At 38.7% G+C, this 23,326-nt stretch overlaps 1 long non-coding RNA gene and 1 pseudogene across 2 annotated transcripts in view, besides 1 other annotated feature; both read left to right on the top strand.

Moving 5' to 3' along the window:
* Nucleotides 1-23,326, top strand: part of LOC105376440 (uncharacterized) — a 126,250-nt gene that overhangs the window by 22,056 nt on the left and 80,868 nt on the right. Inside the window, exon 2 of one of the 2 annotated variants that reach the window (XR_930721.2) lies at nt 14,340-14,442. The exons of the other annotated variant lie outside the window; for it this stretch is intronic. This is a non-coding gene — a long non-coding RNA (uncharacterized LOC105376440). The remainder of the gene's footprint in view (nt 1-14,339; nt 14,443-23,326) is intronic. 2 annotated transcript variants of the gene reach the window in all.
* On the top strand, nt 3,326-6,490 carry AIFM1P1 (AIFM1 pseudogene 1; annotated as a pseudogene).
* Nucleotides 19,911-21,110: an enhancer, noted in NCBI's record as "BRD4-independent group 4 enhancer chr10:19041189-19042388 (GRCh37/hg19 assembly coordinates)". NCBI's record gives its function as "activates an origin of replication core promoter dependent on BRD2, P300/CBP, MED14 and CDK7 cofactors, and independent of BRD4, by STARR-seq in HCT116 cells {active_cell/tissue: HCT116}" and the evidence as "EXISTENCE:reporter gene assay evidence [ECO:0000049][PMID:35650434]".

Consider the following 23,326-nt stretch of genomic DNA (forward strand, 5'->3'; position numbering starts at 1 on the left):
AAAGTTGCATTTAAACTGCAGAGCATGTTGTTGCCCGACACTAATAGAATTTTCTTTGAAAGGCAGTGCCAGATAATTTCCACTGGATATTAATAAGGTGAGTAAAAAATGTTTAAATAAGCCACCCTTGAGTTTTGCATTGGTTTCTGAAGGAGAAACAGATATAAGGAGTCTGTCAGAACAACAGCAGCAAAAGTTTGAGACATTGCTTTTGTGTGGAAAAAAATCCTCCTTGCTGTGCAGAAATCTCTAGAAATGTTGCACTCTGGGGTTTGAGAGGCTGAGATAATGCAATAAAAAAGAAGCTTGCTTTCTTAAGAAACCTGGGCTGAAAACCAATGAGGCAAGAATAGTGCCAAGGTTCAGCCACGTTTTGACCTCACTTGCCCACCTGTATTCAGATTGTGCAGTCATGAAGGGAAATGAGTTTGTCTCTCTATGCCTGTTGGACATTTGTCTCCACAACAAGCTCACTCAGTGATATAAAGGCAAGGATCCTGTGTATCAAGCCATGTCCAAATGTGGTTTTCTAATCAGTGTAAGAGCCCGAGACCCTGGTATGAGAATTGACTAGATAATTCTCCAGACTAATTGTTGTCAATACTTATATATATTTAATTACTTAATTTATATACCACCATGTTCCACAAATAATATGAAGCAACTTAATTATGATATTTATGTAGTTATTGACATTTCATGTGTTTTAGCAGGTTTTTTGTTAAGTTCAAACAACGAGCCTCTGAGGTCAGTATGAACAGTCCATTTTTACAGCAGGAGGAACTATAGTTCATATAGATTAATTGAGTTGCTTTGCTATGAGGTAGTTATTAATATTGTCTTCCTACGGGTAGGAAAGTAAAGCTTAAAGGAAAGAAGTAAATTGTTAAAGAAGACACACATGATTTGAGGTGCTTCTGAGAGGTAGGATTTCCTTTCAAATCTACTGACCTGAAAGACTGTCCTTAACCCCTATGGTATCCTACCTTCTCAAAATGGAACCCAGTTGCTCTTCTGTTGGTTTTAGCCATTAAAAAAAAAGAGTCATTCTGTTGATTCATGTTTCTAAACATGATGTTTTAGAACAGGGATGCAATTTACAGTTAATTTCAAATTATTTTGGCAATATGAGACACTCCATTTTTATTTCTAAAATATTAGTCCATCCAGAGAATTATGCTTGCATTTACTCATATGATTTTATCCAATAAATACAAGGAGAAAGTTAACCGCAGTAGAAAAACCTCTGCTGTCTTATTTGTGGAGAAATCCTAAGTTGGTTTGAATTAGGAGTCCTAAGTTTTTATTTTTTATTTTTATTCTTTTTGAGACAAAGTCTCGCTGTTGTTGCCCAGGCTGGAGTGCAGTGGTGCAATTATGTTACTGCAGCCTCCACCTGCCAGGCCCAAGTGATCCTCCCACCTCAGCCTCTCAAGTAGCTGGGACCACAGGTGTACGCAACCACACTTGGCTAATTTTTTATAGAGACGGGGTTTTACCATGTTGCCCAGGCTGGTCTCAAACTCCTGGGATCAAATGATCCACCTGTCTCACCCTCCCAAAATGCTGGGATTACAGGCATGAGCCACTATGCCTGGCCTGTAGTTGACTTTTAAGAAGGGATTAGAGTATTAACTTATTCTGTTTATCTTGTGCTCTCAACAAATACATTTTCAACTTGGCAAAGTATGGTTGATTACCTGTGACTTTTTTTTTTTTTTTTTGAGTCAGAGTCTTGCTCTTTTTGCCCAGGCTGGAGTGCAATGGCACGATCTTGGCTCACCGCAACCTCTACCTCCTGGGTTCAAGCGATTCTCCTGCCTCAGCCTCCCAAGTAGCTGGGCATGTGCCACCACACCTGGCTAAGTTTGTATATTTAGTAGAGACGGGGGTTTCTCCATGTTGGTTAGGCTGGTCTCGAACTCTTGACCTCAGGTGATCTGCCCGCTTCAGCCTCCTGAAGTGCCATTACTGTCAATGGCAAAAACTGCAGTTACTTTTGCACCAACCTGATAAGAAATTGTAAGAAGTGACAAGGGAAACTTAATATTGGATGCTATCCCTTTTGAAATCTGAAGTTCTTTTGGTGGAGACTAAAAGCTAAGGTCGCTTTGAGAGACATTTTCTGAGAGCTATTTACCATGTATATAGTCAAAGTAAATAATTGAATGAGGTGTCTGCTTTTTGCTGAATACTATGTAACCATAAATATTATTCTAACAGCTATTGCTCCTTGCTATATAAGATTATTAGACTAAGAGACAGATATAAATGAGCCTGGAACTCTGCAGCTCAGCCCCCCACGTCCTCTAAGGGTTGCTCGAACCTAGCCTCTGTCCTTCTCTTTCTGGGGTGGGGTTGGTGGTCCTTGCAATTTTATGAAAACTGCCATTTATCTTCTTTGTTTTATTGATGTCAGGGGTGTCAGCTTTGAAATGCTCACTGAAGGGGTCCTCTAAGAATCTAAAGCCTGGAGCTAATGGCAGTGCTGCACTAATGCTCTTGTGGACATGGTGAGCATTTCTCTGCGGCCCAGTTGCTGATGTTACCTGGGCAAGGTGCCTCTTTGTGGGTGGCTGAGATCAGCCACTGAGCTGGCATAATTCAGACTCCTGCAACAGGTGACAGCCTTTATCTATTTTTTTTTTTTTTTTTTTTTTTGCCATGGAGTCTCGCTCTGTCCCCCAGGCTGGAGTGCAGTGGTGTGATCTTGGCTCACTGCAATCTCTGCCTCCCAGATTCTCCTGCCTCAGCCTCCTGAATAGCTGGGATTACAGGCCCATGCTCGCAGGCCTGGACAATTTTTTTTTTTTTTGTATTTTTAGTAGAGACAAGGTTTCACCATGTTGTTCAGGCTGGTCTCGAACTCTTGACCTCATGATCCACCTGCCTTGGCCTCCCAAAGTGCTGGGATTACAGGCTTGAGCCACCATGCCTGGCCTCCTTTATCCTTTTTTATACACTTGCATTCTGCTCTGTAAATGGTTTTTAGGATGGAAAATTAATCCTCCAGTCTCAGCATGTGTACTTGAACCATTCTCACAGTCTTCATCTCTGATTGAGATCTTTCCATCTTGCATCAGCTCCACTTCTTTTCTGGAACTCAGTCTTTTATTATTTTTATATTTTTTGGCCAATCATCTCCCTGGGATTCTGCCAACAGATGAGATGTAGGTCTTCTCAAAGCTTTTACAACAAGTAGGTGACTAGCTTTTTACTTCCTAATATACAATGTAGACTTTTGCAAGTATGTTGTGAATAATTAAATTGAGAGTATTCCACAATCATTAGGGAAAAAATTAAGTGTAAAAACATAAACATTGGTGGTGTTTGACCCGTTGGTCTGATGTGAATCCAAGGAAACGAAAGGAAGAGGTTCCGAGTAGCAGTTGCTGAAATGTTCTGATGTGGAGGCCTTGTGGTGGGTGCTTTGAAGCAGAAGCTGGTGCCCTTGGTGCAGATGGTGTGTGTCTGCAGCCTGAGGCAGAGGAACTGGCTTCTAAGCAACTTGTTCCAGCACTGGGGTGTTCCTCTAGAACTCCAGATGACATGACAAATGGCTAGCTCTGGTGCACCAGGAGGCAGAGTAGATAATTCTGTGTAAGTCCTTATTGTGGGCTTATCAACAGCAGGAGCTGGTGCATATGCCTGCAAGACTATAAAGGATAACCAAAAAAGATATAATGAAAGAATGCTAGGGTTAGGGCTGACATCAGAAGAGAAGCAAAAAAGGGCCACATTATCTGCTCTAGATGGAGAGCCAGTTCCTCAAGGCAGCTTGCCAAATCATGTCCCTTTCCTGCTAACTGGCGGAAGAACTGCTGTTTTTGCTGCAGCCGAAGCCACCTGGGTTCGGGATCCTGGGACCGGGGTCCTCATTATGTCTGAAGATCCTGAGCTGCCATACATGTGATCTCCCCTTTGAAAAGAACCATGGTACAAAAGTTGACAAATGGGACCTAATTAAACTAAAGAGCATCTGTACAGCAACAACAACAACAACAACAACAAACTATCAACAGAGTAAACAGCCTACTGAAAGAGAGAACATATTTGCAAACTGTTCATCTAACAAAGGTCTAATATCTAGAATCTATAAGGAACTTACACAAATTTACAAGCAATAAACAACCCCATTAAAAAAATGGACAAAGGAATGAATAGAGAGTTTTCAAAAGAAGACACAGCCAACAAGCATATGAGAAAATGCTCAACATCATTAATTATTAGAGAAATGCAAATCAAAACCACAATGAGATCCCATCTCACACCAGTCAGAATGACTATTACTAAAAAGTCAAAAAATAACAGATGCTGGTGAGATTGCTGAGAAAGGGAATGCTTATACACTGTTGATGGGAGTGCAAATTAGTTCAACCAGTGTGGAAAGCAGTTTGGTGATTTCTGAAAGAACTTAAAATAGAATTACCATTCAAGCCAGCAATCCTATTAATGAGTATATACCCAAAGGAATATAAACCATTCCACCATGAAGACACATGCACGTGTATGTTCATTGCAGCACTATTCACAATAGCAAAGATATGGAATCAACCCAAATGCCCATCAGTGGTAGACTGGATAAAGAAAATGTGGTACATATACATACACCATAGAGTATTACATAGCCATAAAAAGAATGAAATCATGTCCTTTGCAGCAACATGGATGGAGCTAGAGGTCACTATCCTAAGTGAACTAACACAGGAACAGAAAACCAAATACCACATATTCTCACTTATAAGTGGGAGCTAAACATTGAGTACAAATGAACAAAAAGAACAGAATAGTGCACACTGGGGCCTACTTGAAGGTAGAGGGTGGGAGGAGGGTGAGGATTGAAAAACTAACTATCAGGTACTATGCTCATTACTTGAGTGATGAAATAATCTGTACACCAAACCTCTGTGACATCCAATTTACCTATGTAACAAACCTGCACGTGTACCCTTGAACCTAAAATAAAAGTGAAAAACAAACAAAAATTCCAAAAGAACTGTGGTTTTCAGATGACTCAGATGTCACAAAGACAGTGTGATTCAGACAGTGGAATGGAAAAAGAGAGAAGCATGTATTTCCAGCCACCTCTTTCTGTGTCTCTGCCCAGGACTTGCCTCACATTGAGAATGGTGTTGTGGCCATCCTCACGAGGTAGAAGATGGTATAGCTGAAAGTGAGAGGCAACACAGTGAAACTTAATGATGGCTCCCAAATAGCCTATGAAAACTGCTTGATTGCAACAAGAGGTCCTCCAAGAAGTCTGTCTGAAATTGATGAAGCTGGATCAGAGGTGAAGAGCAGAGCAACACTCTCTAGAAAGATTGGAGACTCTAGGACTCTGGAGAAGATTTCATGGAAGTCAAGTCAATTATGGTTATCGGTGGGGGCTTGCTTGGTGGTGAACTGGCCTGTGCTCTTGGCAGAAAGGGTTGGAGCCTTGGGCACAGAAGTGATTCACCTGTTTTCTGAGAAGGGAAATATGGGAAAGGTCTTCTGCAAATCCCTCTGCAACTGAACCGTGGAAAAAGTCAGACGAGAGGGGGTTAAGATGATACCCATTGCTGTTGTGCAACCGGTTGGAGTCAGCAGTGGCAAGTTACTCATCACGTTGAAAGATGGTGGGAAGGTAGAAACTGACCACATAGCAGCAGCCGTGAGCCTGAAGCCCAGTGCTGAGTTGGCCGAGAACTGGTGGGCTGGAAATAGGCCCAGATTTTGGTGGCTTCTGGGTAAATGTAGAGCTATACTCATGCCTAAACATCTGGGTGGCAGGAGATGCTGCATGCTTCTATGATATAAATCTGGGGAGGAGGCGGTTAGAGCACCATGATCAAGCTTTTGTGAGCAGAAGATTGGCTGGAGAAAATATGACTGGAGCTGCTAAGCCGTATTGGCATCAGTCAGTGTGCTGGAATGATTTGAGCCCTGATGCTGGCTATGAAGCTATTGGCCCACAGTTGGTGTTTTTGCAAAAGCAGCTGTGCAAGACAACCCAAAATCTGCCAAAGAGCAATCAGGAGCTGTTATCTGCTCAGAGAGTGAAACACGGTACGAGGCCTCAGAAATTACTCTTCCTCCTAGAACCCCTGCAGTTCCAAGGCTCCTCTCCAGGGAGAAGACTACGGCAAAGGTGACATTTTTGATCCCAGGGACAAAGTGGTCATGGGGCTCATGCTATATGGAACATCTTTAACCGAATGCCGATAGCAAGGAAGACCACTGAGGATGGTGAGCAACTTGAAGATCTCAATGAAGTGGCCAAACTATTCAACATTCATGAAAACTGAAGCCCACAGTGGAATAGACAAGCCCTTCAGTGTCCCTGAGAGTGGGTTGCATGGGTAAAGGAGCATTTTTTTTTAATTCAGCAAACTTTCTCTGTGTATATAAATGTGAATAATCAAGTCTCTTGTGAATGTTTTCAACCATGTAGGCAAATTCTTAATTTTCACATCATGAAAAAAATCTGATTCTTCTAAAAAAAATTAAAGAATTAGGAATTAGACATTAAACCTTAAACAATAAAACACTTCACAAAAAAATGACATAAAAATGTAGGGGTGACCGAGATAACATTTCACAAGCATTTCTTGTAAACCACATAGTTTTAGGCTTATTCCCAGGCATGTTGGAAATTTGAGTGATTCACATATAATGTCTTTAAAATGGCCATTGGCCTATTTTACTCAGAATATGTTGAATGCAGCTCTTGCCTAAAGATTGGGAAACAGATATGCATTGTGAGTGTTGTGTGAGAACCTTCCGTGGGCTTTTGAAGAAACACTGTTCCCAGTATTGACTTTACTTTTGGAATCTAGGACACAGCTGAAATTGCTTAGTGCCAATGACTGGCTGTCTCATCTGGAGTAATCTTTCTCTCGATCTTTTTTGGCCTAATAGATATTTCAGTCTCACACATTTGCCAGACTTCTGCTTTGTTTGCTTCTCACTGTTTCCTTGAAGAGAACTGATAGTTCACTGGAATGAGAAAATAAAAACAAAATAACAAACTTTACTTTCTAAAACAATAGTGTTTTAGAACTAAGATTGCAGCTTAACGTGAGATAAAATAGACTTGTTCATCTAATAAACTTTGGAGCCCTTAGTATATATCCAGACATTACCTAATTTAGCATTGAAAAACAATAGATTTTGTGTATCCTTTTGCCAGTAGATTGATACTTGGATTATTTCCAGTTTTTAGTGTTTATGAATTAAGCTGCTATAAACATTTTTACTGGTTTTTATGTGAACCTAAGTTTTTGTTTCACTTGTGTAAATACCTAGGAGTAGAATTGCTGGATTGTATGGTAAATGTATGTTTAATTTTAAGGAAACTGCAAGACTGTTTTCCAAATTGGGTGGATGTGTATTTCATATTCCTGCTAGGAATCGAAAAGAATTCCAATTGCTCAGCATCATTTTGAGCACTTTGTATCGCCGATTTAAAATATCACAGCCCACAGCCATTTAGGCGGATCACCTAAGGTCAGGAGTTCAAGACCAGCCTGGCCAACATGCTGAAACCTCATCTCTACTAAAAAAACCCAGAAATTAGCTGGGCTGGTGGCAGGTGCCTTTACTAATCCCAGCTACTCAGGAGGCTGAGGCAGGAGAATCACTTGAGCCTGGGAGGCAAAGGTTTCAGTGAGCCGAGATCGTGCCATTGCACTCCAGCCTGGGTGACAAGAGAAAAACTCCATCTCAAAAAAAAAAAAAAAAAAAAAGTTACAGCCATTATAATAGGTATGTAGTGATATCTCATTATGGTTTTAATTTTGATTTCTATGATGACTAGTGATATTGAGCATCTTTTCACATGCTTATTGGCATCCATATGTCTTCGGTGAAGTGTTTGTTCAAATCTTTTGCCCATTAAATAATTTAAAAAATGTTACTGCGTTTTAAGAACTCTTTATATATCCTGGATATAGGTCCTTTGTCAGATATGCTGTTTGCAAATATTGTCTCATAGTCTGTGGCTTTTCTTTTCATCTCCTGAGAGTGTCTTTCATAGGGCAGGAGTTCTTATTTTGAAGTCAAATTCATCTATATATTTTTTTTTATGAATTGGTCTTTTGGTGTCATGCATCTTGGGGTATAACTCAGCAGCAAAAGGGAACAAACTACTAATATACAGAACAACACTAAATTAAGTGAAAGAATCCTGCCCCCAAAGGCTACATGTTATATGATTCCATTTATTTGGTATTTTGGAAAAGACAAAACTAGAAAGACAGAAAGTAGATCTATAGTTGCCAGGAGCTAGAGGTGGGAGTCCGGGCAGAGGAGTTGACTGTGAAGAGGAAAGGGGAATTTTTTGGGGGTAATTCTGCTATCCTATATCTTGATTGTGCTGCAGATGGCATAACTAAACGTGCTTGTCGAAACTTACTGAGCTGTCCACTAAAAAGGGTGGCTTTATTGTATTCTATGTGTTCCCCAAAACTATTTTATCTACTTCATGGGCACATTACAAAATAATTTCCAGCCTCCTTTGTAATTATGTCTGGCTGTGTAACTAAATCTTGTGAAGTTATGTGTTCCCTTCCAATACTGATCCATTAAAACCTCCTGTGAACTGCCATTCTTTCACTTCCCCCAGATTCTAGATAGATGTACAAGATCCAGCAACAGATTCTGTGAGGTTGAGGTTCTATGGCAGGGTGCAACCATGAGGTTCTATGGCAGGATGCAACCATGAGGTTCTGTGTCATTGTAGAACCACGAGGTTCTATAGTTGAGGTTTATGGCATTGTAGAACCATGAGGTTCAATAGTTGATGTTCTATGGCATGGTGGAATCATGAGGTTCTATAGTTGAGGTTTATGGCATAGTGGAATCATGAGGTTCTATAATTGAAGTTCTATGGCATTGTGGAACCATGAATTTCTATAGTTGAGGTTCTGTGGCATGGTGGAAACATGAAGTTCTCTAGTTGAGGTCCTATGACGTGGTGAAAGCATGAGGTTCTATAGTTGAGGTTCTATGGCAGTGTGGAACCATGAGGATCTATAATTGAGGTTCTATGGCATCGTGGAAGCATGAGCTTCTATAATTGAGGTTCTATGGCATGGTGGAATCATGAGGTTCTACAGTTGAGGTTCTATGGCATGGTGGAACCATGAGGTTCTATGAGGTTCTTTAGTTGAGGTTCTATGGCATGGTGGAACCATGAGGTTCTATGAGATTCCTTAGTTGAGGTTCCGTGGCATGGTGGAACCACGAGGTTCTATGAGGTTCTTTAATTGAGGTTCTATGGCATGGTGGAACCATGAGGTTCTATGAGGTTCTTTAGTTGAGGTTCTATGGCATGGTGGAACCACGAGGTTCTATGAGGTTCTTTAGTTAAGGTTCTATGGTATAGTGGAACCTCCAGGTGGAAGTGACCTGGGTCACTGTGTGACCATATCAGTTGGTGGTCATTCAATTGGATTGTAAAATGAATTAAAAAAAAACCTTTATTTTGTTAAGCCAACTGAAATTTATTAGGTTTGTTTGTTACAGCACTTTGTATTACTTAGCCTAAACCAAACAGGAACAAGCACTTCCTTACCTGTTCAGGCATATTAAAAGGTTGGAATTTTTGGTAAGAGGATAATGAGGTGATTCATCCATAAGGTTGGAGAGCTTCAGATATCTGTGGATGTGGCATTTGCAGTGGTATTTTCTTTGATCTTCGGGTTTTGGGAACACTTTTGCACTTTCATTTGGGCTAGACTGTAACAAGATGTCTGATTTATATGTTGATTAATGGAAGAGGTATATTAAAATATTCTATGTTGAGAGTGTTTTTTTCTTGTTGTGTTTACATAATTTTTTGCTTTGTATTCATTGAACTTATGTTATTAGTTGCTTATAATTTTGGGACTGATAGTTGTCCATGTGTATTGAACCTTTTATCATTATGAATTGATTTATTTCTATCAATGTTCTTCATTTATAAACAAATTGTTTACTGTTAATGGAATTATACAAGCTTTCCTCAGTATTTGCTTGGCATATACATAACAGTTTTTCTTCTTTCATACTGTACATCTTTATGTTACAGATATATATTGTCTATAAACAAAATATAGCTGGATTTAGAAAACACAGTTTATAAGTTTCTTCTTTCTTAAATGAGAACATTTGCTCCATAAGTTTTTAAATTAATATATTTGGAATACTCTTTATCATTTTATGATTTTTGTGTATTTCATCCACCTTATGATTTTAGTGAAGGAGTTAATATATAGATCAATGGAACAGAATGGGAAATCTAGAAATAAACTCATACATATACCTACTAAATAATTTTCTACAGGATGCTAAAGCAATTTCATGGGGAAAGAAATGTCTTTTCAACAATGGTGCTGAAGCAAATGAATGTCTGTATGAAAAAAAATAAACATCAACCCTTCCCTTCCATTACATACAAAAATTAACTTGAGATGAAGTATAGACGTAAATGGGAAAGTTAAAAAAGTAAGACTTTTAGATGGAAACATGGGTTAAAATCTTTTGGCAACTTTGAGTAGGAAATTTTGTTAGTTATTACACAAAAAGCATGACTCATAAAATAAAAAAATCGATAAATCAGATCTTATTATTATTTTTTTTTGAGATAGAGTTTCACTCTTGTTGCCCAGGCCGGAGTGCAATAATGCGATCTTGGCTCACCACAACCTCCACCTCCTGGATTAAAGTGATTATCCTGCCTCAGCCTCCCGAATAGCTGGGATTATAGGCATGCACCACCATGCCCGGCTAATTTTGTATTTTTAGTAGAGATGGGGTTTCTCCATGTTGGTCAGGCTGGTCTGGAATTCCCGACCTCAGGTGATCTGCCCAAAGTGCTGCGATTATAGGTGTGAGCCACCACGCCTGGCCAACACTCTTCTAATTAAAAAATAAGAAGACAAACTATCCAATTTGAAAATGGGCAAAAAATTTGGACAGATACTTTAGGAAACAATGGTCAATAAGACATGAAAACGTGCTTGACATATCAGGAAAATAAAAGTCCAAATCACAATAAGATAACACTACATATAATTAGAATGCTTATGGTAAAATTTCTGGGAATACAAATATTGGTGAGAATTTGAAGCAACAGGAATTCTCCTACACTTCAAATTACTTTGGAAGATTGTCACATTTTAAGAAGTACACATATGCCTACCATATGATCCAGACATTTTGTTCTAGGTATAAAATGAAAACATGGATCTACACAAAGATGAATGTTAATAACTGCTTTATGCCCAATAGCCAAAAAGTGGACACAACCTAAATATCTGTGAATGGATAAGTGAAATGTGGTATATCTTTACAACTGAATAGTACTCCGAAATAAAGAATGAACTGCTGATTCATAATACAGCATGCATCGACCTCAGAATTATTCTAAGTAAAAGGATCAAGACACAAGAAATGGATATTGTGTGATGCCATTCATGTAAAAAAGTGCAGAAAATGCTATACTATAAAAAATATATAGCAGCAATTGTCTGGTACCAGTGGTAGAGAGTGGTAGGTAATGTAAAAGCACTTGAGGTAGCTTTTGGGGTGATAAAATAGTCTGTATTTTGGTTGTGGCATTGGTTTCATGGTTATAATAATCTTTTGAAGCTCACTGAATTGCACACATTCATACAGCTTATTTTAGATATACCTTAATAAATTTGATTAATTTTTTTCATTAGGTTTAGAACTCTTACACCTAATTTGTCTCAGTATGCATATAATTCCACTTTCTTCTGGTTTCCATTGTTGCACAGGATAAATTGTCTGTCAGTCTCATTATAATTCCTTTGCATGTGATGTCTATTTTTTCTCTTGCTTTATTTAGGATTTCTCTTTTTCATTGTTTTTTGGAAGTTTCATTATGATGTATATTTCTCTCTTTAATCTTGCTTGATATTTGTGAGGATTCTGAATTTGTGGAGAGGGATCTTCCAGAGATTTTAGGAACTTGAAGTCATTATTCCTTCAAATATTTCCTATATCATTCTTTTTCCTTTCTCATTCTATTAAACTCCTTCACTGGACATGCTTTGGGCACTGTTATCTGTTCCTGTACCTTTAAAGTCATGAAAAATTCCAAAACTTAAAATTACCAAATTTAAGAATTGACTTTCTTTAAGGAATGATCTGTTTTAAATTCTCTTCTTACCTTGTTGCGTTTCTTTCCTCACTTAATTTTTGACATCTAAATATTCCTTACTTTTCTTGCTAGCTAGCTATAGACATTTAAAAAGATTAAAAATATACTTCACTTGGCATTTTAACTTGTTTTTGGTTGGAGGATTAGTTATGAAACCTGGTCTGTACTATCAGAAAATAGAATTGCATGGTACATATCGCTCCATTTAAAAGCTGTATTATGATATATCTATTAATATTTAAATTATTTATTTAACAGTTCCTTAGTCACTGCAAAGCTCAAGGTCTAAAATAGTTTCTACAGGCTGAAAAAAAGTTTATAAACACAAAACACATGAGAAAATCCTGGACAGATTTTGCTTTGATGGTATTGTATAATCTGAGGCTCATTTACAATGAGATTGCAATGAGACCTAAAACATTTTAAATTGAACAGGAGATTACATTGTTAAGAGTCCATTATTTCTTAACAATTCACTTTAGAAAAATGTATCGGCATTTCAAAATGATCTCAGAATTATAAAAAGCAAAATTTGGTAGCTGTAAAGAGAACCTTTTGAGACAGTTGTGATATTGGAAGGAAAACGAACAATTCATTTCTTTTGTCTAGGTTGGTGAAATAATATTTCAGAAATGACAGATCTTACAGATCAAAAGCTTTAACTTTATTATTATTCAACTCGTATCAATGTTAAGCCTGTTATTCAATAGCCCAGTTATTCTTAATATTTTGGAATTTGATACCTAGTTTGACTTTATGATCCATTTTACTTTAACACCTTTGAATTTCAGATCCTGTGGTGATGTTAACCAGGTTTGAGCACTAGCATTCCTAATGTGCATTGAACACCTCCTGTCTTATGCTTATTTATGCCAGTTTTAGCGGTTTTCCAAATCTCTAAGGTAAATTACTGTACTTCTAGCTTATACAATTGATCACACAGACACACAAAAACAAATACGTCAATGAAATACGCATTCACATTTCGGTGCTTATTTTTAGTCCAGAAATATTTATATAAATATTTTAAATGAAATAATTTATATCTCTGTATTATTTTTATTACTGATATCAGTGTCTAAATGTGACTGTTGTTTAATGTTTATTAAGAAGAAGGAGACCTTGAATTTACATCTCATTGTGTATTGTTCTAGAAGAGATTCTTTTTTTGGATAAAATATCTCTTAAGTTGTCACCTTTTCCAATGCATTCTAAAGTTTGTTATTTCTGCATTCATATTTTAGATGCATAATTTTATGTCACGCTATAGTTGTGAAAAAGGATTATTTTATAAGCACTACTTCAAATTTCTAAACAGAATATCAACTGGAACTTTAGAGCAGAGTTGAATTGTGAAAGGAGCATGGACTTATATCAGGCTCTAATTTTAAAAAGTATCCATTAATTTTATAAACATTGCTTTAAATTTCTGAACAAAAAATAATATGGAAGATAGAGAACAATATTGGATATTGTAGAATGAACACAGTTTTGAGGTTTGAGTGTGGCTGTACTCTTCACTGGCTATGTCCACACCAGAAAAAGTATTTTACAAATATTCAATAGCTCAAAGCTAGAATGAGTTGAATATTATCTACCCAACCGAGTTGTAATGCATTTCTATTAAGTACAATATGTATGATGACTATTACATAGGTACTAAAAAATGAGCTTTACTATTTTTGGGTCAACTCTGCAGATTTATTTATTTATCTGCAGCTCAAATTTATTTAATTTGTGGGGCAAGGATTGTAAGACTCTACAACTTATGCTTAAAGCTGTATAATACAGCTGGTGGTTAGAAAATTTAGTGGCAGTTTCTAAAGGTCTGCACTGAGAAATGCTAATTCCAAGGTCTTTCTTTCTTTATTCCATTTACTCCCAGTGGATGACAATCAAGGAACATCATGCAATCCACAGAGCTGTGAGCAATGAGGAAAGGAACCTCTGCAGCTTAGAGGCAGCAGTCTATCACCCTTTTGTCAGAGAACCTTTGTAGAAGAGTCAATGTTTTTTGCCATTTGAAAATCTCTGTTTCTGCAAGATGCCATGCTAGGCACTGTACACAATTAAAATGAGTTCCCATCTCCAAGGAATTTGCAACCATAGACAGCACAGTGAAGACAGGTGTTAACTTGAAGGCTGTACACAAACAGTGAATTCTCAAGTCTCCTCCCCTTCCCTCCCCTAGGCGCTGTGCACAATTAAAATAGCAGAGTTCCCATCTCCAAGGAATTTGCAACCATAGACAGCACAGTGAAGACAGGTGTTAACTTGAAGGCAGCGCACAAACGGTGAATTCTCCCCTCCCCTCCCCTCCCCTCCCCTCCCCTCCCCTCCTTTCCCCTCTGACAGAGTCTCACTCTGTTACCCAGGCTGGAGTGCAGTGGTGAGATCTTGGCTCACTGCAACCTCTGCCTGCAGGGTTCAAACGATTCTTGTGCCTCAGCCTCCCGAGTATTTGGGACTACAGGCAAGTGCCACCACACCCAGCTAATTTTTGTATTATTAGTAAAGACGGGGTTTCACCATGTTGGCCAGGCTTGTCTCGAACTCCTGACCTCAGGTGATCCTCCTGCCTCTGCCTTCCAAAGTGCTGGGATTATAGGCATGAGCCACTGCACCTGGTCAAGATCCTTGTATTTTTAGTATTTTTCTAAGCACCACTGAAACATGATTTCTGTTTGAAGCAGCCCATTATTTTCTGTGAAATAAACCAGAACATTGAAAAGCTATGCAGTAGTCCATATTGATTTTTTTTTTTTTGAGACAGAGCCTCACTCCATCACCCAGGTTGGAGTGCAGTGGCATGATCTCTGCTCACACTGCAGTGTCTGCCCCCTGGGTTCAAGGGAGTCTCCTGCCTCAGCCGCCAAAGTAGCTGAGATTACAGGTACCCACCACTACACCCAGCTAATTTTTGTATTTTTAGTAGAGATGGGGTTTCATGATGTTGGCCAGGCTGGTCTTGAACTCCTGACCTCAAGTGATCCACCTGTCTCAGCCTCCCAAAGTGCTGGGATTACAGGCATGAGGCATCGTGCCTAGCTTGATTTGGTTTGTTCCCCAAATTCCTTTTAAATTTCTTTTGCATCTGCCCCTCCAGTTAATTTCATTGTTGGATGCATATATTTTTGTAATGCAACACATTCTTGTGTTTATTTTAGGGAGGCAATTGAAGTTGTCACCTACTGTACAACACAGTGGCCCTTGTATGAAGATCCAAGACACATATGGAAATTAAAGATTTAATTATCACTCCTTTGGAGGATTTGTTGGCCATCAGCAACTTGGGCTTAACTTGGGTCCAATTTTATAATTTTAGTAAATTATAATAATATTTATGATATCTATAACTATATACTAGTGCTTGGTCTTATTGTTCAGATATAGCTATAGTTTTTCTTGTTTAATTTTTATGTGTTTATTTTTTATTTTGTTGAATTAATTTTGTCTTTCATCGGTATTTGTTAGTTCCTCATTTTTTTGTGTCTTTCTGTGTATGTAAATAGGTAATTCCTCTAAATAACATTTCTTTTGTTATCAACATTCTGTCAGTGCTAGTTTACTCTTTGTATTAATTCCCAACAAATTTTTCAGTTTAATACTCAGGGTAATATTTTTAACATATTAAAAAGAATTAAGGAGGAAGAGAAATTGGAAGTATGTAAAGATGGGAAAGCTTAATAGTTGTAGCTATTTGGGAAGACAGTGATGTGAAGGAAATAATTATTACCTACTTACATAAAATTCAGTATTCCTTATAGTTTTAAAGAGCTAGTCTTTTAAGAAACAATTGCTATTTTTTAAAAAAATAAAAATATTATACATCCCCAAAGAGAAAATTTCTGAGGTTGTAAATCACAATGCTTACAATTGAGTACTTTGTGACTCCCCTAACTTCCTTCCCCACAAATAAGCAATTTTTTTCTACCATTTAGATATTCAAAATATGCTTTGCTTCTGGGGATTGATGAAACTGCCATTTAATTAAAGAATAGTTTTTAAAGCAAATTTCATTTGATCACTTCCCTTAAGCATAATACTTGACTAGTGTGTCCCTCATGGAACTCTTTTAGTATTCTCACTGCTTGAAGAAAATCTTAGCTATAGTTTGAAGTGATCAAAAATTTATTAATATTTATTCATTTTTTAGTTATGTATCATCCTTTTTATCTTTAGAAAAAGGACAAAAATATTCTTAGGTGATCTACCACGTGGGAATGCAGTTAATTACTCTATTGTCTTTGAAATTCTTTTTTTTTTTTTTTTTTGAGACAGAGTTTTGCCCTTGTTGCTCAGGCTGGAGTGTACTGGTGTAATCTCGGCTCACCGCAACCTCTACCTCCCGAGTTCAAGCGATTCTCCTGGCTCAGCCTCCCGAGTAGCTGGGATTACAGGCATGTGCCACCACGCCTGGCTAATTTTGTATTTTTAGTAGAGACGGGGTTTCTCCATGTTGGTCAGGCTGGTCTCCAACTCCTGACCTCAGGTGATTGGCCCGCCTTGGCCTCCCAAAGTGCTGGGATTACAGGCATGAGTCACCACACCTGGCCCAAAATTCTTTATCTGGTGTCCATTCTGTCCAGGTTTTCCCTTACCTCACTGGCTTTCCTTTCTAATTTACCTGCTTGGTACTTAAAAAAAACAAACCAACCCAGAAACCTCCCTAGCCTTTGAAAACTGGAATACTCCTTGGGCGCTTTTCTTCAGACCAGCTCCCTAAGAGACCTTACATGGTCTTGTAGCTTAAAAATATTATGTTGACAACTTCAAAATTTATATCTCCAGGCCTTGCCCCTAAACTGCAGTCTTGTATATGATATTTGCAGCTGGATCTCAAATCTTTCACTCTTTTTTTTTTTTCTTTTGGGACAGAGTCTTGCTCTGTCGCCGAGGCTGGAGTGCAGTGGCGTTATCTCGGCTCACTGCAACCTCCACCTCCCAGGTTCAAGTGATTCTCCTGCCTGAGCCTTCCGAGTAGCTGGGATTACAGGCATGTGCCACCATGACTGGCTAATTGTTTTTGTGTATGTATTTTTAGTAGAGATGGGATTTCACCATGTTGGCCAGGCTGGTCTCAAACTCCTGACCTCAAGTGATCTGGCCACCTCAGCCTCCCAAATTGCTGGAATTACAGGCATGAACCACTACGTTTGGTCAACCCTTCCATTTCTTAAACTTAGTTTCCAATTATTTCCAAAGCTGGATCCTCTCAGAATCTTCCCTAAGTCAGGTAAATGCAGATAGTTGTTCAGGCCAAAAATCTTGGAGTTATCTTCAACTCCACTTTTAATTTCACATCCCAAGTACAATCTGTCAGTCTTCCTATTGGTTCATTTTCAAGATATGTCAAAAATCTGACTGATAACTATTGTTATCACTCTGATCCAAACCACCACTGTATTAGACTTGGATAATTGCAATAGCCTCCTATGTTAGTCATGACACTAACTGCTTAGCAAACAACTCCAAAGTCTCAGAGGTTTAGTGCAATAAATGTTTGTCATTTTCTCACATGACAGTGAGTAGGTGAAGGAGCTCTGATCCACATGGCCATTCAGGGTCCCAGAATTCTTCCGTGTAGTGGATCTACCTTTCTTTACAACATGGAATTAATTACATATTGGATTATCTGCATCTGGCAGAGAGTGTGTATGTGTTTTCTCATAGGCCGGGACTGGAAGTAGAGTAGCATCATTTCTGACTACTTCTTTTTGGCCAGAAGTCAGTTGCATAGTCCTGTCTAGCAAGGGAAACTGGGAAATAGCATGTAGCTATGTATTAAGGGAAGCAATAAAATTATTTGATGAACACATGGCAGTCATGTGATCCTGTTAAAACGTAAGAATCAAATTGGTTTATTGTTTAATACTTTCCAATGTTTTCCTTCTCTCTCTCTGTAAAAAACAAAACAAAACAAAAAAACAAAAAAAGAAACAACTCAACATGTATAGTGGGCTATGGAGCCCTGCATGATCTTTGACTTTATTTCCTAGTTTTCTTCCCCTTGTTCTCTCCTCTCCAGTCAAACTGGTTTCTTTTTAATTTTTTTTTATTTTTAATGTTTGTAGGTACATAGTAGGTGTATATATTTATGGGATCCATGAGCTGTTTTGATACAGGCATGCAATGTGTAACAGTCATATCATGGAAAATGGGGTATCCATCCCCTTAAGCATTTATCCTTTGAGTTATGAACAATCCAATTATACTCTTCATTATTTTAAAATGTACAATTAAATTATTATTGACTATAGTCACCCTGTTTTGCTATCAAATCATAGGTTTTATTCATTCTTTCTATTTTTTTTTTTGTACTCATTAACCATCCCCAGCTGTTCCCCACCCTCCCACTACCCTTCCTAGCCTCTGGTAACCATCATTCTACTCTCTAGCTCCATGACTTCGATTGTTTTGATTTTTAGATCCCACAAGTAAGTGGGAACATGTGATGTTTGTCTTTCTGTGCCTGGCTTATTTCACTTAACATAATGATCTTCTGCTCTATCCATGTTGTTGCAAATGACAGAATCTGGTTGTTTTTTGGTTTGTTTGTTTTACACGCTGGCTTCTACAATGGTCTTTGAATGTGCCAGGCATGCTCCCACCTCAGGGCCTGTACACTGGCTGTTTCTGCTCCCTGTAGTATGTTTCTTCTAGATAGCTGCATGGCTTTCTGCCTCACTATCTTCATATCTTGGTTCAAATACCACTTCTCAGTGAGTTCATGTCTGTTCACCCAAGTTAAAATTGCAACCAGCACTCTCAGTCATTCTTTTTTTTTTTTGAGATGGAGTTTTGCTCTTGTTGCCCAGGCTGGAGTGCAATGGTGCGTTCTTGGCTCACTGCAACCTCCGCCTCCTGGCTTCAAGCTATTCTCCTGCCTCAGCCTCCCAAGTAGCTGGGAGTATAGGCATGCACCACCACACCTGGCTAATTTTGTATTTTTAGTAGAGACGGAGTTGCACTATGTTGGTCAGGCTGGTCTTGAACTCCTGACCTCAAGTGATCCACTGGCCTTGGCCTCCCCAAGTGCTGGGATTACAAGTGTGAGCCACCACACCTGGCCACTCTCAGTAATTGTTATCCTGCTTCTCTGCTTAATTTTTTCTAGGCATTATCATGTTCTGTCATATGATTTATTTATTTTGTGTATCGTTTTTCTCCTCAGACTAGAATGTGAGCTCCAACAAGGTAGGGATTTTGTTTGTTGTGTTCACCACTGTATCCTCTACCCTAGGAATAGTACCTGTCATTTAGTAGGTACTAAATAATAATTATAGTAATAGGATTACAAACTTGTATAATAATGACTTGTCAAGTGAATGAATTCTTTATTCTCAAGAACTTAAAAATCAAGCTAGGAAGAGAGAGAGAGACAACTGTAATGTATCACTACAAGAGAAAGATGTCAAGAGTCATAGAAACAAAGGAAAGACTGATTTGTCTCTGCCTAGAATCCGTCAGATACCTCAATGGGCACAATGTTTATCTGGGCATTGAAGAACGAGACAGTGTCTTCTAGGTTTTGAGGAGAGAGCCTTTCTAGGGAGAAAAATGTCACAAACAAAGGCTTGAAAGCAGGAGTATTGTGACATTTGGGAAACAACTGAGAAATGTGAGGAAACTGGAAATAAATATGTGTGCCTATATTTCAGAATGGGGAAATTAGGTTGAAATACTAAATTAGTCCAAAAGTGTCTAGCACTATAACAAATTTGGATTTCATGCTGCTGGCAGTGGAGAAACTTTGCAGTCCTTAGTAGGATTATGCTGAGTCTAGGTGTATATGTATGAAAAATAGACTTGGTGAAGAGTGCAGGAAGACTGAAGGGCAAGTGGCCTGGAACTCAGGTGAGAGGCTATTCTGATACCCACAACAGAAATGAATACCTGATCTAAAGTAACGTTAGATATGAGTTCTAAATTTCTTTTCAAATAATCAATATGTTAGTGTGTTCAGTTCTTTGCCTTCTACTTTTAAACTTAACTTCCTCATAAAGCAACATTTTTTGATTACCTGCTCTACCTTGACTCATTTCAATCACCTGCTGCAACCTAACTCATTCCGATTACCTGCTCCATCCTGACTCATTCCGATTACCTGCTCCACCCTGACTCATTCTGATTACCTGCTCCACCCTGACCCATTACTTGCTCTGTCATAACCATTTTTCCAGCCAAACCACTCACCCTGTCACTGTCTTTAAATTAGCCAATCTGAATTAGTTTAGCCTGTGTGGTCTAACTCTAGCCAATAGGGGAATGACACAGCAGCAGGGGCCACGTGCATCAGGGATAAGAACCCTTTCCCCTCCCTTGTCCAAGTGTGCGCTCACCGTTGCTCCATCTGTAAGGGCGTACCCTTCTATAGAAGTACCTTGCCTTGCTGAGAATTAAAAAGAAAATTTTATATTCGAGTGCTGTTTCTTTTGTGGCACTGAAACTTTATATATAACAATAAGATATTTAAAAAGGGCTCATATGGATAAATCTAATCTACCTGACCTAAGATATTCAACAAGGGGACATGTGGGGATTATGGGAGCTACAATTCAAGATGAGATTTTGATACAGGAGCTAAAAAGAAATTATTTAAGCAGTTAGTAAGGGTAAGAGATCCTCAGGAAGGCTACCTTTTTAACAAAAAGCAGCCCCTAAATCGTTTCTTTTCTAACAAAGAGCAGACTGAAAAATCAAGCTGCAGAAATGGAAAAGCAAGCTAGAAGCTTGCACTGGTAAATGCCAGCAGCTGTGTCAATAGGAAAAGGCTACCTGGGGGCCAGGCATGTTCACCATGGTGGCTGCATCTTCCCTTTTCTTTATCAACCACGTGTACAGTAAAGAGGCAGGCAGAATGGCACTGACCAGGTAGAGAATCCGCTGGCATAATAAAAGATTGGGATGGGGTGGCTAGCTTCTTTGTGTGCTATGTAAATGGAACACCTGGTCTGACTAATCTTTTGGACCCTATGTAAATCAGACACTGCCTCCTCAAGCCCGCCTATAAAACCCCATACAACCATGGAACAGGAAGACCGACTTGGGAACCCGTCTCTCTCTGCAGGAGAGAGAGCTTTTCTCTTTTCTCTCACCTGCTAATCCTCTGCTCTTAAACTCACTTCTTGTGTGTCCCTGTGCTTGATTTCCTTGGCGTGAGATGACGAACCTCGGGTATTTACCGCACACAATGACGCCACTTCACCATGGGTGGGGACATAGCCAAACAACATCAAAGGAAGAGACTGATGGCTCTCTCTCTTTCTGTGGGGGAGCCTGAAGTTATAGGACACACTCCTCATTATGCGATGCTGCTGAGGAGAACAAGCCCCAAGCTCAGGCTAGCCTGCTAGAAGACAAAACACCATCAAGTTACCCCAGCTGAGGACATTAGATCATTCAGTCCCTAGCTGACCTGCCAGCTGATGAAAGAAGCATGGGCAAGTCCACAGATCAGTGGTGCTTGGTCCAGATAAGCAGAACTTCTCAAAATTCCATAGATTCAAAGTTCTGGAGTAGTTTGTTACTCATCAGTAGTTAATGGATACAAATATCTTAAAAATTTACAATACTTATTAACATAATATTAACAATGAGAAAAGAAATAACGTACATAACCAAAACAACTACAATGAAAAGTGTATAATTCTGTTTGAAAAAAAGATATTCAACAAGGGCTCATATGGACAAATCTAATCAGTCATGAAGATATAATCTAAATTGCTTGCCTGTCTCTAAATGGTAGTGGAAAGAACTCTGTCCAAATGTGGCTACCCTTTAGAACTTAGAGATCATGGGATTATTGGCTTTGGCTTAAATTTAGTATTATACTTCTCCATCCATGTAGAAACTGTTTCTAATACTTTCCATGGCCATTAGAGCAAGGTCTTTAAAGTTTGAATCTCCAGCAGTTTATTGTGAAGATATTATTTCGTGAACAAAAAAAAAAGACATGGACATTTACATGACTAAATGTTGACAAATGGTTTGGTTTTGAATTTGATCCTAATTCGTCAGACCTATTTAGCCTTTCTCAAACAAGCTTCATCATCTACAAATGGTGTATGTCACAACTGACTTTATTCTGTGCAATTTAAAAAGTATTTATTAAATATGATCTTCACATTGTAAGGTACTACAAGCACACAAACATGACTCATATGCAGAGAAAAGCAGTCGAGTCAGTGCCTATCTGTCACTGGACCGTTCCAGTCATCCCCATAATCGAGTGACAATAGTACTTGAGGGCCTTGAAAATAATGCTGAATAGGATTGCTTCTCTGGCAAGAAGACATTCATGCTTATATTAACTTTCTAAATCTGAATTGAATGATTTCCAAAAGATTGTCTTTTAGTTTTTATTGTTCCTAAATGTTCTGCATTTTAAAATTTAGCAGTAATGTGATATTGGATATTCTAAGTTGTGGCTTGTGTATGTGTGTGCTTATGTCATGGGTATGGGGCTGATGAGTAACTAGGCTTTGACCAATTAGGTATTAAGGAATCAAGACCATCCATCAGTTTTTAAGTGACATAATATGCTTATCCTGAGAGATAGTATAAAATCCAGAAAAATTTTTGCTTTTTTTCTTTTTAGTGATAAAATCTGTTTCTTAATAACACTTTCTTTCTTTTCTTTTCTTTTTCTTTTTTTTTTTTGAGATAGAGTCTTGCTCTGTCACTTAGGTGGGAGTACAGTGGTGTGATCTTGGCTCACTGCAACCTCCGTCTCCTGGGTTCAACGGATTCTTCTGCTTCAGCCTCCCAAGTAGCTGGGATTACAGGTGCATACCACCATGCCCAGCTAATTTTTGTATTTTTAGTAGAGATGGGGTTTCAGCATGTTGGCCAAGTTGGTCTCAAACTCCTGACCTCATGTGATTCTCCTGCCTCAGCCTCCCGAGTAGTTGGGATTACAGGCATGCACCACCGTACCTGGCTAAATTTTGTGTTTGTAGTAGAGACAGGGTTTCACCATGTTGGCCAGGATGGTCTCGAACTCCTGACCTCATGTGATCCTCCCACTTTGGCCTCCCAAAGTGCTGGGGTTAGAGGCATGAACCACCACACCTGACCCTCTTTCTTAGTAACACTTTCTCGTTAACCATATCTACATATTAATAGGGAAGAAATCTCAAAGCCCAAGTTTACCAGAAATTGCACATTTAAAACATC

The sequence above is a fragment of the Homo sapiens genome, chromosome 10 (assembly GCF_000001405.40).
Source record: "Homo sapiens chromosome 10, GRCh38.p14 Primary Assembly".
Classification (NCBI taxonomy): domain Eukaryota; kingdom Metazoa; phylum Chordata; class Mammalia; order Primates; family Hominidae; genus Homo; species Homo sapiens.